The 14,900-nt window shown below is 47.0% G+C and overlaps 1 protein-coding gene and 1 pseudogene across 25 annotated transcripts in view, besides 1 other annotated feature; both read left to right on the plus strand.

The window, feature by feature from the left end:
• SPECC1 (sperm antigen with calponin homology and coiled-coil domains 1) overlaps positions 1-14,900 on the plus strand; it is a 309,668-nt gene that overhangs the window by 268,763 nt on the left and 26,005 nt on the right. The window lies entirely within an intron of this gene.
• Positions 3,402-3,902: an enhancer, noted in NCBI's record as "H3K4me1 hESC enhancer chr17:20184836-20185336 (GRCh37/hg19 assembly coordinates)". NCBI's record gives its function as "activates a minimal SCP1, AML or CMV promoter by ChIP-STARR-seq in naive H9 embryonic stem cells {active_cell/tissue: H9 hESC(naive)}" and the evidence as "EXISTENCE:reporter gene assay evidence [ECO:0000049][PMID:30033119]".
• On the plus strand, positions 12,136-12,237 carry RNU6-1057P (RNA, U6 small nuclear 1057, pseudogene; annotated as a pseudogene).

Raw genomic sequence — 14,900 nt, forward strand, 5'->3', positions numbered from 1 at the left:
AGCTGTATTATTTGTCCTCCCTTTTCTCAGAGGTATGGAACATAGCTCCCCTCCCCACCCTCACCACACCTACCTGAAAAACGGGAAGATTAGATCCACCATGTCCTTAAGGAAAAGAAGAGAGTGTTTTGATTGCCAACAATTTGGGCTCCAGGCTTCTGTAAGTCATCAAGGTCCATATTGGAGAATTAGAAGCAAGAGGGTAACAGAGGCAGAGGATAAGAGCAGAGGCTTAGGTTGAGGGAGAGCAGAGGCCAGCGCCCTTGGATGTGGTGGCCGGGGGCTGAGAGGTGGAACTGGGAAGACTGGAAACTCAGCCACCCTACAGGCTAAGGGCCCACATCCTCCCTCTTCTGACCTGCCAAATTCCTACAACATGCAGGAGAAAGTGAGGGAACTAATAAGGTGAGCTTATTAATCTGGTTAAAGGTTCTTGGCTGGGCACAGTAGCTCACACCTGTAATGTCAACACTTTGGAAGGTTGATGCAGGAAGATCACTTGAGTATAGAAGTTTGAGGCTGCAGTGAGCTATGATTGTGTCACTGCATTCCAGCCTGGGTGACAGAGTGAGACCCTGTCTCTCTCTCTCTCTCTCTCTTTTTTTTTTTAAAGGTTCTTACCATGAGTTAGCCTCGTCTTCTGACTTCCCAGGGTCATTTGAAGGAAGCATCTGCATCAAAACTGCCAATTTACACTTTAAAATTTTTTATATAAATGTTAGATGTTTTGCCAGCTTCAGGAAGGAAAAACAGGATTTTCAAAATAAAATGTTATAAGAATGTGTCATCCTCCTGGGGACTGAGGGTGATTTAAGTCCCTTGGTCTTCTTTCCTCCCATGGGCTGTTTGTCCCCAGCTGAGGGCCTCCATGGGTCAAGTATGCCAGCAGCTGCTGCTGCAGCATAACACTGCCCAACACCAAAGCCATCATCTTGTCACCATTCAGAAAAAGGAGGCCTTGATTTTTGCTGCTGTTCCTTCTCCATCCCCCAGGACAGCATGTGAGTCTATTTAGATAATCACAGTCCCAGGTGAATCTGCACTGAGCATTTTTTCCATTCTCTTACTCGTGAAATGTTCATTTGGGAAAAAGAAGTAATTTCATGGCAAGACACTTATGATTTCACAGGCTGAATTCAGTCTTTCTGAGGGTAGAAGGTTAACGGAGTTGAAGGTTACTTTTCTTTCTTTTTTTTTTTTTCTTTTTTTTTTTTTTCTGAGATGGAGTTTCTCCCTTGTTGCCCAGGCTGGAGTGCAATGGTGCGATCTCAGCTCACTGCAACCTCTGCCCCCTGGGTTCAAGCGATTCTCCTGCCTCAGCCTCCCGAGTAGCTGGGATTGCAGGCATGCGCCACCATGCCCGGCTAATTTTGTATTTTTAGTAGAGAAAGGGTTTCTCCATGTTGGTCAGGCTGATCTTGAACTCCCGACCTCAGGTGATCCGCCTGCCTTGGCCTCCCAAAGTGTTGGGATTACAGGTATGAGCCACCGCGCCCAGCCTTGAAGGTTACTTTTCTAGTATAAACTAAACTTGATCTTGGAACAAAATTCCTTATAATCAATTTTTCAGTTATTGCATATTATTTTCTTAGTACAATTCTAATTCTGCTGACTACAGAGTCAGAAAGGGTTTAAAAACCATGGTGACAGGTGGTCTCCCAGCCAGAGCTGTGGTTTTGGAAGACATGAGGAAGACCACAACTCCTGAACTAGGATGGGGGTTGGGATATGGAGAGGAGAAGGTGGACAGATGGATGCAGAAGCAGAGTGGCTGACACACGCTGCAACACAGATGGGTCTGAGGATGCTTCAGTGAGTGAAATCAGCCCATCACCAAAGGGCACGTGCTGTGTGGTGGAGGAACATAGTCGCATGTGTGTTGTTGGGAGGTGGAGTTTAAGGTGGAAGAACCTCTTTGAGGGCAATTTGGCAGAATCCATCAAAATGGATTCCACCTGTGTGCAGAGAGGTGCATGGGAGGACAATTATCGCAGTACTGTTTGTGATAACAGAAAACTGGAAACAACCTAAACGGGCTGCTGTCTCCATCCATGTGATGGACCTGCATGTGTCGTCAGAGAACAAAGTAGCGAATGGTGATGGAAGTAAAGCTAGCAGTGACAAAATATTTACCACGTGACCGACATTGTCTAAGTGCATCTAATCTTGACCACAATCTCATGAGTTAGGCATTTTGTATCCATTTTACAAATACAAAACTAAGGCAGCAAGAGGCTCCATGACTGCTCAGAGTCACACCCTAGTAAGGGATAGAGCTGGGACTGAACTCCTGCTGTTGGGCCCAGCATCCAGTCCCTTGGTCTCTACACTGAAACTGTTCATCCAGATGTCGTGAAGGACCTAGCTCTATATATCTTGGTAAGGGTGCAGAACATGCCACCATCTGCATAAAAGGGGGAAATACACATGCATGTTTGCATAAGTGCAAGACAGCACTGTCCTGTAGAACCCTCTGTGATGATGGGAATGTTCTATATCTGTGCTGGCCAATCCTGTAGCCACAGGTGGCTGCTGAGCACTTAAAAGATTCCTAATGTGACTGAGAAATGGAATTTTGATATTATTTAATTTTAACTAATTTAAACAGCCACATGGGGCTGGTGGCTGTCGTATGGGGCAATGCAAGGTAGAATATAGACAGATGGATGTTAAAGAAAAGATCACCGGATTTTGTGGTTTGCAATCCCTACTTTTAAAAAACCTTCTGCAGAAGCATCATTGGAAGAACGGGTTTCATAACTGTTTATTTCAGAACCACTAATTTAATCTAGCCACTTCATTTGAGAGATGAGGAAACTTAAGGCAGAAAAGTTGAGTCACTTTCCTAAAGTCATATTCAGCTGCGTTAGTGTGAGGAGGAAGGAGCGGGTCACAGTTTGGTTTGGTTTGTTCCTCTTTAGAGCATCGGACATTCTCGTTTGCCAGGGGCTTCATTCAATCTGATGTCAGCTCAGTTCTTAGCATGGCCGGTCGGTTCCTGGAAATGGCGGCTTTGGGTGAAACCATGTGCTGTAAGCCATGGGAACTCAACTCTGGCCCATGTCAATTAGCCTGCGGTGAAACTGGTTTTGTTATACAGCGTGTCACCATTTCACTTAATGTTACAGTGTCCAAGAACCTCCCAACATTAAGTGAGGACTTACTATAAAAGAAAGAAAGAACCAGACTTTTGTCTCCTGGGCTCCCAGAACTCCATGAGGAATCTTGCAGTGGCTCGCCCTTTCCTGAAGCCCCAGAGTTCATCCTGCCTCCTGCACACCCCAGGCTCAGGCTGTCCTGCCTGCCTGCACCACAGCATGGGTGAACCATGGTAGGACCATGCTTCCCTGCGGTGTACTCCTCAGCGCCTCACACATGGAGGGCTTTGGAAATGTTTGTGTGGACTCTACTCCCAGCCTCGAGGGCTGAACCGCTAGTGAGTTGTGCAGATGGCTCATGAGGAGATTTCTCCAACATTTCCTTGAGGGAGCTGCTGGACACAGGTAAACACTCAGCAAGGAGCAGAATGGGGCTTCAGGGGGCTGCTAGTCCACTGAGCCTGGGTGACTCCAGGAGGAGAGGAGCCAGCAGAGCTATGCATGACCATGACCTTTTTTAGAAGCAGCAAGCAAGGAGGAAGAGTGGAATTAATGAAAATGAGGTAGCCAACTTAACAGAAAGGCAGAAGAGGAAAGAAAATTCCAGGGAAGTGTTTCCCCAGAGGCCTGAGCATGGTCCTAGGGGTCAGAAGATGGCAGGGAATCATCTGGGATCCGAGGTGAGGGCACAGAGAAGACCTGTTCTCAGGACGCCAAGGAAGAACTGGGAGGCCCCTGCTGAGCCGCGGGGCTTCGCCTGCGTTCGGGTGCTGTGTGAGGCTAGCACTGCCAGTGGAACTGCTGTTGGGCTGGAGGAAGTGGACCCAGCCAGGGGGCAGGAGGTGTTGGCCGCAGGCCCATGCTTGCAAGGCAACCAGACCCTGTGTCACAATGCCAAAGCCAGTTAACCTCGGGGAAGAAACGCCGTGGGTGGGGACTTCTGAGTGTTTGTCAAGTGAAAATGGAGGAAGCAAGAAAGACAGGGCCCCAGCTGCTCCTGAGATGTGTATCTTCTGTGATTCTGTCTCCAGGGAGGGACTGTGCAGCATCTGCCTGAACATCTCTGGGACACAGCCGTCCTCTCGCCATAGGAAGGCTCTTGTCCACAGAGGAGTAAAGGGAAGGGCGCTGCTTCCTGCACCAGCTCACCGTGGCCGCTGTCTCCATTTTCGCAGTCTCAAACCCTCGGTGCTTTCAGTGTGGATAAAAGAGTGGGAGGAACATTTAAAAAGTGAATTATTCCAAATTAGTCTCTAAATTTAATGCAATTCCGATTAAAATCCCAACAGACTTTCTTTATTCTTGAACTTAACAAAGTAATTAAAAATTCACCTGGAAGAATAAGCAACTAAGAAGAGCCAAAAAAGTTTAGAGAAAGAGTGCTGATGAAAGTGGGTTGCCCTGCCTGACTGGAAAGGTGCAATGAAGCCACGGCAGAGGAGACCCCCTTCACACGTCATTCTGCCCACCGTAGCGTTGCAGAAGCAAAGACACAGTGGAAACAGCCATGAGCATGGCCCCTGCAGCTCATGTTTCAGAATAGTAATGACACTGACTTGAACGGGTTGAGGAGGTCTGCATTTTTTTAAATCTTAAAAGATAAGTAGAAGTTGTCAGATTTGATTTGGGAGATAATGAGCCATATAAAATCTAAAGTAGAAAAATAAATAATTGGCTGGGTGCGTGCAGTGGCTCACGCCTGTAATCCCAGCACTTTCAGAGGCTGAGGCAGGAGGATTGCTTGACCTCGGGAGTTCAAGACCAGCCTGGGCAACATAGTGAGACCCCATCTCTAAGAAAAGATGAAAAAAAAAATTAGCCAGGCATGGTGGCTTCCACCTGTAGTCCCAGCTACTCTGGAGGCTGAGGTGGGAGGATCACTTGAGCACAGGAGATTGAGGCTACAGTGAGCCCTGATCACACTATTGCACTCCAACCTGGGCAGCAGAGCCAGACCCTATCTTAGAAAAACAAACAAACAAAAAAGATTAAAGCAATAATATGAACAGGAGCAGAAATGGAAAGGCATTCCAAGGAATCCCAGAGTTATTCCATGAGGGACAAAAGGTAGCTTTCCGCTGCCAGAGATGTGACTTGCCCTTTGCAGCAAATATAAAAGAAGTCACTTCAGGCATTCTGATTGTCTGTAGCTGTAGAGCAAACCACCCCGAAACAGTGGATTACAATAACATCTTCATTAACCTTATGAATTAAATGTCTTTAATTTTTGCCAGTTTGATGAGTGAAAATGATATTTTACCGTTTTTATTTTCTGGTGAGACTGAACATCTTTTCATACATTTCAGACTATTTGTATTTCCTCTTCAGTACATTACAGGTTCATTTCTCTGCCAATTTTTACTTGAGTTGTTTGTCTTTTTCTTTGAGACAGAGTCTTGCTCTGTCACCCTGGCTGGAGTGTAGTGGCACGATCTTGGCTCACCTCAACCTCTGCCTCCTGAGCTCAAGCAGTCCTCCCACCTCAGCCTCCCAAGTAGCTGGGACTACAGCTGCATGCCACCACATTTGGCTAATTTTTGTATTTTTTTGGTAGAGATGAGGTTTCGCCATGTTTCCCAGACTGTTCTCAAACCCCTGGCCTCGAGCGATCCACTTGCCTCAACCTCTCAAAGTGCTAGGATTATAGGCATGAGCTACCATGTCTGTCCTCTTTCTTATTGATTACAGGAATATATTTTGAGTATTAGTCGTTTGCTATACATATATTGGTTTTAATTTTGTCATATAGAAACTTTCTTTAAGTCAGATTTCTTAATCCTTTCCTTTATACTTTTTGCATTTTGTGCCTTAGATGGCTTTCTTTCCCCAGGATTATAAGCCTATTCTTCTATATTTTTCTTTTTATAATGTTATAATTTTGGTTTTTAAGCTTAGCCATCTGGAACTCATCTCTAGGAAACAAGCGATGCGAGACTAATCCCTGGGAGAAGGGAAACTCCTGCAGTGATGGCCAGCTCACCAGCTCTCTGCCTGGGAACAATATCCACTTCCCAGTGCAGGGAGCTGGCCTCTGAGCAGAGCACAGCAGCCCCACTGGCTGAGGAGGCGGTGATCAGAGAGGGGCAGCCAAAGCTGCACATTTTATGGAATGGGGCATCAGAAAGGAGGATGCTGTGAAGATAGGGGGCCCAGGAGTCTATGTGCAGGTCTCCACAAGTCATGGCCAAGGGTTGTGCTGTCCGTGTGCAGGACGAGGCCACTCGAGGTTTACCAGATAGTCTGAGATCAGAACAGAGGTACTAAAACTGGATGTGTGTGTACACTTGTCCCAGGCAAGGACCGAACACTGAATGCACGGCAGGGAAGGAGCACAGGCTGCATTTGCTGAGATTTCACATGAAATGTTATGTGTGCATTTGCTTTGTATCCTCTCTGACCAGACCTTCAAAGTAAGTGTGATCCTCCCTGGGCTTTTATTGCACATGCTGAGCTCCAGTGAGGAATGAGCTGCTTTTATCCTCTGTGATCTGTAAACTGTTAAACTTTCCAAAAACTAAAAACTCAATCTGATTCCACAGCTGTGATAATAAAGACCAATTGGGAAAACCCCAGAGAGATTCAGGGAGTGAGACTGTTTAGATCACCATGAGCCTGAGACAGCTGGTTCCTGCAAGAATGAATGTACAGCATTTTCTAATCAGTCTCCTGCCTTTTTCCCAAGAAGCTTTGCTTTTTTCTTTTTGACTTTTGCAGTTAGTGTACACAGAGTCAGTTCATTCACAGACACCTCATGGAGGCACCTGGAGGTCCTTGGTGAAGGTAAAGAAGTACTGGGAATGCAGCCACGGAATCCAGCTGTGTCCTCGATTGAATTTAGCACAGTACACAATTCAGTGTGTACCCTGCAGCTTGTCCCCCCAGTGATTGATGTTTTTTACCAAATGTTAATAACCAAGGCAAGGCAAGTAACCAGGCAACCAAGGCAAGCGAAAGCATCTTCTAGAAGCAAATGCGCAGGCTGTGTGGTTTTGCTTTGCCCTGTCCTGCTGCGTTATTCATGAGTGCTGTCTCTACATTCCCCCGTCTGCAACTTTAGTACAACCTCAACACTCTGGGAAGATATTCTTGGATATGCACTAAAATTAGATTTTTACCTTCCCATGTGTAATTCAATGTCTTCATTTTTCTCAAATGACTTTTGCTTCATTGAGGTGGACAAAATTCTGTATCTTACTTTTTTTTTTTCCTAAACCCTCCTAGAGACCTATAACCAGTTTTGGAGATGGTTGGACTGTTACCCTTTTATTAAACATCTAAGACTTTCATCAAAAAGTTCCATATTCCACTCAGAAATATTGCTAAAGTATTTATATCCTGGGAAAAGTTAATTTGTAATTAGTAACTAGCATTTCCCTGGGTAAAAATAATCAGCAAGTTTCTTTCTGTTTTTGCTCCACTTTTTCCTCCCCAAAAATCTTGTACATAAATTCCAAATGTTAGTGTTCAGAGTGGACACCACACTCTAGCCCCTTAAGACAATCAGGGTCCTTCCCTCCTTGTTTCCTTCTTCCCTCCCCCTCCCTGTCCTCCCTCCTTCTCTCTCCCCTTCCCTCCCTCCCTTTCTTTCTTCCTTCCTTCCTTTTTTTTTTTTTGATAGGGTCTCGCTCTACCACCCAGGTTGGAGTGAAGTGATTTGATCATGGCTCACTGCAGCCCCAGTCTCCCCAGGCTCAAGTGATTCTCCTGCCTCAGCCTTCCCAGTAGCTGGGATTATAGGCATGCACTATCATGCCTGGCTAATTTTTACATTTTTTGTAGAGACAGGGTCCCGCCATGTTGCCCAGGCTAGTCTTGAGCTCTTGGGCTTAAGCACCTCCTGCCTCGGCCTCCCAAAGTGCTGGGATTTGTGAGCCATCGCACATGACCTCCTTTTTAATTGAGGTATAACATACACATGTGCATGGGGGATGCTCACGAGGTGACCCAGGTCTAGAAAGCACAGCATTCAGCCCCCCAGAATCCTCTTCATGTTCCCCTGGTTACCAGCTTCCACTCAAGGATAACAATGATCCTAGTCCGTTTTATTCAGGGATGAATATCAAGGAAAATACCAGAAGGTAACAGCCTACAGAATGCCTGCTGGGCTGCTTTTCATTTTCTTCTCATGGTTCTTTTGATGAACCTCTGAGTCTCAGATGAGTGGTCCTTGGGAAAAGACCTTACCATACTAACATCCCTGGGGTGGTCTGTGTTTCTTCTTAGTTTTGGCTGCTTCTGTGAGCATTGAGGACTGTCGCGCAGCAGCTCAGCCAGATTTCACCCCTCTCTACTTTAAGGCCTGTGCCAGCTCTAGTCATCCCCTCGCCAAAAATGAGACTTTTCACCTCCATCCAGGGGTAGGTCCTGGAGTGAGTTCTCAGCTTGCTCCCTGGGGTGCCTAGGACTTGCCCGGCCACCCATGTCCCACAAACTGCTGTTTTTCTGCCTGGTGCCCAGTATATTGGCCCTGCCCACACGAGTACCTTGCTGCCATGGCTTCCTTGACCTCTCTGGTCACTGCAGTGGGACTGGATCTTAACCCACCTACCTGGGACCCACAGACCTTGCCTAGCTCCTGGCTGCCCAGGGCTGGATGCTTTTCCAGTCCAGGAAACCAGCCCCCAAGAGACTGGTGAATGATGGCATGATCCCATCGCTGCTGCCTGCCTCTTCCCTCCAACCCCCACGAACTGGCCCCCAGGGCCCAGGCTGCAGGAGCTCCTGGAAACTGTGCTAGCCCCAAGAAAGTCCTGGCTCCTGGAGGACTGATCCCCTTGCACTCCTTAGGCCATCGGCTGCCGTCAGCAGCCTCCCCTGCCTCCCCTGGGCTCTGCTGATGAGGGTGCAACACACTGCATAGCTCATAGCCTCTGTACGTGGTCTGCAAGGGAACAGTAATTTAAATGACATGGCTTTGGCCGGGCGCGGGTGCTCACGCCTGTAATCCCAGCACTTTGGGAGGCCGAGGCGGGTGGATCATGAGGTCAGGATATCGAGACCATCCTGGCTAACAAGGTGAAACCCCGTCTCTACGAAAAATACAAAAAATTAGCCGGGCGCGGTGGCGGGCGCCTGTAGTCCCAGCTACTCGGGAGGCTGAGGCAGGAGAATGGCGTGAACCCGGGAAGCGGAGCTTGCAGTGAGCCGAGATTGCGCCACTGCAGTCCGCAGTCCGGCCTGGGCGACAGAGCGAGACTCCGTCTCAAAAAAAAAAAAAAAAAAAAAAAAAAAAAAAATGACATGGCTTTGAATGAACTGAGAGCTCTGATAAAGCATAACTCAATTCATCTCTTTTCTGCAAGTCATCTTCCATCCATGTGGAAAGTGTGAATGATACCAGTTGTGCCACATTGATACTGACCCCCTCGTTCCTGAAAATACACCTTAGAGCTCATGAAAGCACACCCCAGTTACTGGAAAGGAAGCCACTTTTGTTGTAAGCACAGCAGCAGAGCAGCCTCTGAGGTGCACAGGGCTCTGCAGGTTGCTGCTTGGCCTTATGTCTGAGTAAGGCCTAAGTACACATAGCTTTTTTTTTTTGTTTTATTTCTGAGAAATTTAATTATTTTAGTTCTTTTTTTAAATCAACTTTTATTTTAAAATTTCAGGGTACATGTGCAGGATGTGCAGGTTTGTTACATAGGTGTGCCATGGTGGTTTGCTGCATAGATCAACCCATCACCTAGGTATTAAGCTCAACATACATTAGTGATTCTTCCTGATGCTCTCCCTCCCCCACCCCCAATAGGCCTTAGTGTATGTTGTTTCTCTCCATGTGTCCATGTGTTCTCATTTGTTCACCTTCCACTTATAAATGAGAACATACTTTGTTTGGTTTTCTGTTTCTGTACTAGTTTGCTGAGGAAAGGGGCTTCCAGCTCCATCCATGTCCCTGCAAAGGACATGATCTTGTTTTTTTATGGCTGCATAGTATGGTGTATATGTACCACATTTTCTTTATTCAGTCTATCACTGATGGGCATTTGGGTTGATTCCTTGACTGTGCTATTGTGAATGGTGCTGCAGTGGACATAACGTGTGCATGTATCTTTATAATAGAAGGATTTATATTCATTTGGGTATATAACCACTAATAGGATTGCTGGGTCAAATGGTTTTTCTTCTAGATCTTTGAGGACTACAAGGAACTTAAACAAATTTAGAAGAAAAAAAAACAACATCCCCATTAAAAAGTGGGCAAAGGACATGAACAGACACTTCTCAAAAGAAGACATTTATGTAGCCAACAAATATATGAAAAAAACCTCAACATCACTGATCATTAGAGAAATGTAAAGCAAAATCACAGTGAGATACCATGTCACACCAGCCAGAATGGCGATTATTAAAAAGTCAAGAAACAACAGATGCTGGCGAGGTTGCAGAGAAAAATGAACACTTTTTTTTCTTTTTTGAGACGGTATATTAGTCCATTATCATGCTGTTGATAAAGACATACCTGAGACTGGGAAGAAAAAGAGGATTAATTGGACTTACAGTTTCACATTGCTGGGGAGGCCTCAGAATCATGGCAGGAGGTGAAGGGCACTTCTTTTTTTTTTTTTTTTTTTTTTTTTGTCCCAAGACGGAGTCTCACTCTGTTGCCCAGGCTGGAGTGCAGTGGTGCGATCTCGGCTAACTGCAACCTCCGCCCCCCCGGGTTCAAGTGATTCTCCTGCCTCAGCCTCCTGAGTAGCTGGGATTACAGGCGCCTGCCACCGTGCCCGGCTAATTTTTGTATTTTTAGTAGAGATGGGATTTCACCATCTTGGCCAGGCTAGTCTTGAACTCCTGACCTCGTGATCCACCCATCTCAGCCTCCCAAAGTGCTGGGATTATAGGCATGAGCCGCCGTGCCTGGCTGAAAGGCACTTCTTACATGGTGGTGGTGGCAAGAGAAAAAGAGGACAGAAGCAAAAGTGGAAACCCCTGATAAACTCATGAGATGTTGTGAGACTTATTCACTATCACGAGAATAGCATGGGAAAGACTGGCCCCCATGATTCAGTTACCTCCCCCTGGGTCCCTCCCACAACACTTGAGAATTCTGGGAAATACAATTCAAGTTGAGATTTGGGTGGGGACACAGCCAGACCATATCAGATGGAGTCTTGCTCTGATGTCCAGGCTAGAGGGCAGGGGCGCCATCTAGGCTCAGTGCAACCTCTGCCTCCTGGGTTCAAGTGATTCTCCTGCCTCAGCCTCCCAAGTAGCTGGTACTATAGGTGCACACCACCATGCCTGGCTAATTTTTTGTATTTTTAGTAGAGATGGGGTTTCACCATGTTGGCCAGGCTGGTCTCAAACTCCTGGCCTCAAGTGATCCATCCGCCTAGGCCTCCCAAAAAGTGCTGGGATTAACAAGCGTGAGCTACTGTGCCTGGCCAAAAAGGGAACACTTTTATACTGTTGGTGGGAATGTAAATTAGTTCAGCCGTTGTGGATGACAGTGCACACGGCTTTGAATTGTCCCCCAGCTGCACTGGACTGGGAGTTGCTGGTGCTCCTGATGCTCAGCTAGAATTAGAGATAATTTTAGATGGCAACTAGGGGACTCGGTTGGGGTTGTTCCACTCTGAGATGAAAGGGAACGTCTTTATTTAGGAGTATAATGTTCTTGGAGCGAGTGTTATGTCACAAACCATAGTTGGGTGGCCTCTACCTCTGCCAACGTCAGCAATAAAAAGTCTGAGGCAGGGAAACTTTTTAGAGAGAAGAAGAGTGTTTCCTGATCATGGGCTTGGGCTTGTCTACCTGACTAGATTTGGACTTTTATAATAATTCTTTTTTAAGATGGTACACATTCTCCTTTTTCCTGTGTTGTTTCTCTGTGGTCTCACTGCTGCAGTGCCAGGATCTGCATTCAAATACGGCCGAGCCCCCAGAGCACCACCAGTGCAGTCTGTCCTGAGGCACTGGACTCTCAGAGCTCTCCTGCGGGTTTCAGTCATTTTGTTTGGTTTTTCAACCATGGCTTTGATCTTGCCAGACTTTAGTCTCAACCTGTGACCCATTTATAGTTACAGATCAAGAACTAGTGGTCACTTTGGCAACATACATACCAACATGGAAATGATACAGAGAAGACTGGCAGGGACCCTACACAAGGAAAACAAAAAAATAACTTTTTTTTTTTTTTTTAAAGAGAGTCTCACTCTGTCACCCAGGCTGGTGTGATCATGGCTCACTGCCACCTTGAATGCCAGGGCTCCAGTGAGTCTCCCACCTCAGCTTCCCAAGTAGCTGCAACTACAGACATGCACCACCACACTTGTCTGATTTTTATTTTTATGTATTTTATATTTATTTTTTTGAGACAGGGTTTCACTCTGTTGCCCTGGCTGGAGTGTAGTGGCATGATCTCTGCTCACTGAAACCTCTGCCTCCTGAGTTCAAGCAATTCTCCCTCTTCAGCCTCCTGAATAGCTGGGATTACAGGCACACACCACCATGCCTGGCTAATTTTTAAATTTTTTTGGTAGACGTGAGGTTTCACCATGTTGCCCAGGCTGGTCTCGAACTCCTAACCTCAAGTGATCTGCCCACCTTGGCCTCCCAAAGTTCTGGGCCACCACTCTGAGCCCAAAAACTATTCTTGACAGTGTTCAATGAACTAGCATATGGGCGCCTTCTTGGTTGTGGGAGATGGTGGCATTGTTGAGCTTCCGGATCCATCTGACCTCTCAAATGCTTCTGAAGATTTTGCAGATGAAGAAAAATGCTGTTTTGTATCAGAAATGATAGAAGATGTAAGTGTGTATATAATGTTCTCATGTTTTTGGAAAAGAAGGATTTAGCAAGTGTTAAAGTGAATTTGGGAAGGGAGCGAGGAAGGGTGAGAAGGAGAACCTGGCCCGTTTGGATGCACAAGTTCCTTGGGGCGGTAGCATTCACCAGTGCAGAGAGCAGTGCCATCCACCCCAGAGTCTGTTCCTGGTGGGCCTGGCCTGGCCTCAGAAAATGGGGTTCTAGTTTCTTTAACTGACAAGAAGGAATCAAAGTTTCACCACTCACTCCTCTAGAATCTGCCCTCTCCCACCCTCAGCCTTTCCTTTCACTCTTGTCGAAGACATGAATTGAGCAAGCTGCAGGGCCTCTTTCAGCAGGGTCTGCTGGCAGTGTCCACTGCAAATGGGACATGTGCTTCAGAGGCAAATGGAGCTGGCGTTCTGGCCCTGACTCTGGCGCTAGAAATATTTCTTTTTGTTCTGGCTTTCTTATCTGTAAAATGGGTATAACACTAGTCACCGTGCATGGCTGTAAATGAGAAAATGCACAGTGACAGGCTTATCACAGGCACTCAGCAAATGCCACTGCCCTTCCCAGCCCACCATTTTTTTTTTAAAAGACGGTTTTGCTCTGTCATGCAGGCGGGAGTGCAGTGGCATGATCTTGGCTCACTGCAAGCTCCGCATCCTGGGCTCAAACGATCTTCCTGCTTCAGCCTCCCAAGTAGCTGGAACTACAGGCATGTGCCACCACACCCAGCTAATTTTTGTATTTTTAGTAGAGATGGGATTTCACCATGTTGGCCTGTCCGGTCTCAAACCCCTGAGCTCAAGTGATCTGCCTGCATTGGCCTCCCAAAGTTCTGGGGTTACAGCGTGAGCTACCGCACCCAGCCAAGGGACTCATACTTAAAGGACTTTGGTCTTGCTCATTGAGCATTTGGTTTTCTATTTAAAATGTGGTCTTTCTGTTGGAAACGATCTAGTATCCGTCAGCATTGCTCTTGGGAAAGAACACTTCCAGGCAGGGCAAGCACTTGCCTTGTGTACACAGATGCCTTGAGATCAGCATAATGTAAACGTCAAAACGGGTTTCTGGATCTAAAGCCTGGCTTGCTTTCTTCCAGGTCAGCAGTGCAAGAGATGGGTTTGGAGATAGGGTCGCAGCCAGCCTGTGCGTGGCAGAGGAAGGAAGGGGGAGCTGAGTACTGGCAGGGGCCACAGTGCTCTCTGCCCTTCCCAAGAGGAAAGCAGAAACCAGACCCTCTGTTAGAGGCCCTCCTTGTTTTCACCTTCCCAGGGTTTGATGTCCATAACATCTGGTTTGAATGATTCCAGCGAACTGGATGGGGCACCCCACTGCCCCACCACCGCCTGTTTTTTCATCTTTTTTTTTGGGGGGGGGACGGAGTTAATCTCTGCACCCCAGCTGGAGTGCAGTGGCGCTATCTCAGCTGACTGCAACCTCCACCTCCCAGGTTCAAGCAATTCTCCTGCCTCAGCCTCCTGAGTAGCGGGGATTACAGGTACCAGCCACCACGCCCAGCTAATTTTGTATTTTTAGTAGAGTTGAGGTTTCACTACATTGGCCAGGCTGGTCTCGAACTCCTGACGTCAGGTGATCCGCTCACCTCAGCCTCTGTAACCTACAAACCTCTTCAGAAAGTGTAAAATGAAAGCATTTCCCCATTTCTAAAGCAGTGTCCAGGTTTCATCAGGTAGCTGTCGAACCCAAAGAGACTTTGAAGCCAAGAGTCCACAGGATCAGCTTCCCAGTGGCCCCAGAAGTTACAAGATGGGGCCCTCCCAACAAAAGGCATCCTCAGGCTTTTACGTAATGCTGGTGTGCTTAGCGACTGCTGAAAGTTGACTGTGCTTGTGTCGTGAAAGCCAAGATGAAGAGACGTTATTATGGTTGTGTGTTGCTTTCAGCTAGATACTCCTCGCTGGGGAAATGTAACTGCAAAGCAGACTCCAGGACACTGTCTTCCTGAAAGCCGGTGCTTTTGGGGGACATTCTGGGGCCCACCAGGGTCATCCTGGATGCTGACTGGAACTGAGAAGAGGTTTGCTG

This window comes from Homo sapiens, chromosome 17 (genome assembly GCF_000001405.40).
Source record: "Homo sapiens chromosome 17, GRCh38.p14 Primary Assembly".
NCBI classification, from domain to species: domain Eukaryota; kingdom Metazoa; phylum Chordata; class Mammalia; order Primates; family Hominidae; genus Homo; species Homo sapiens.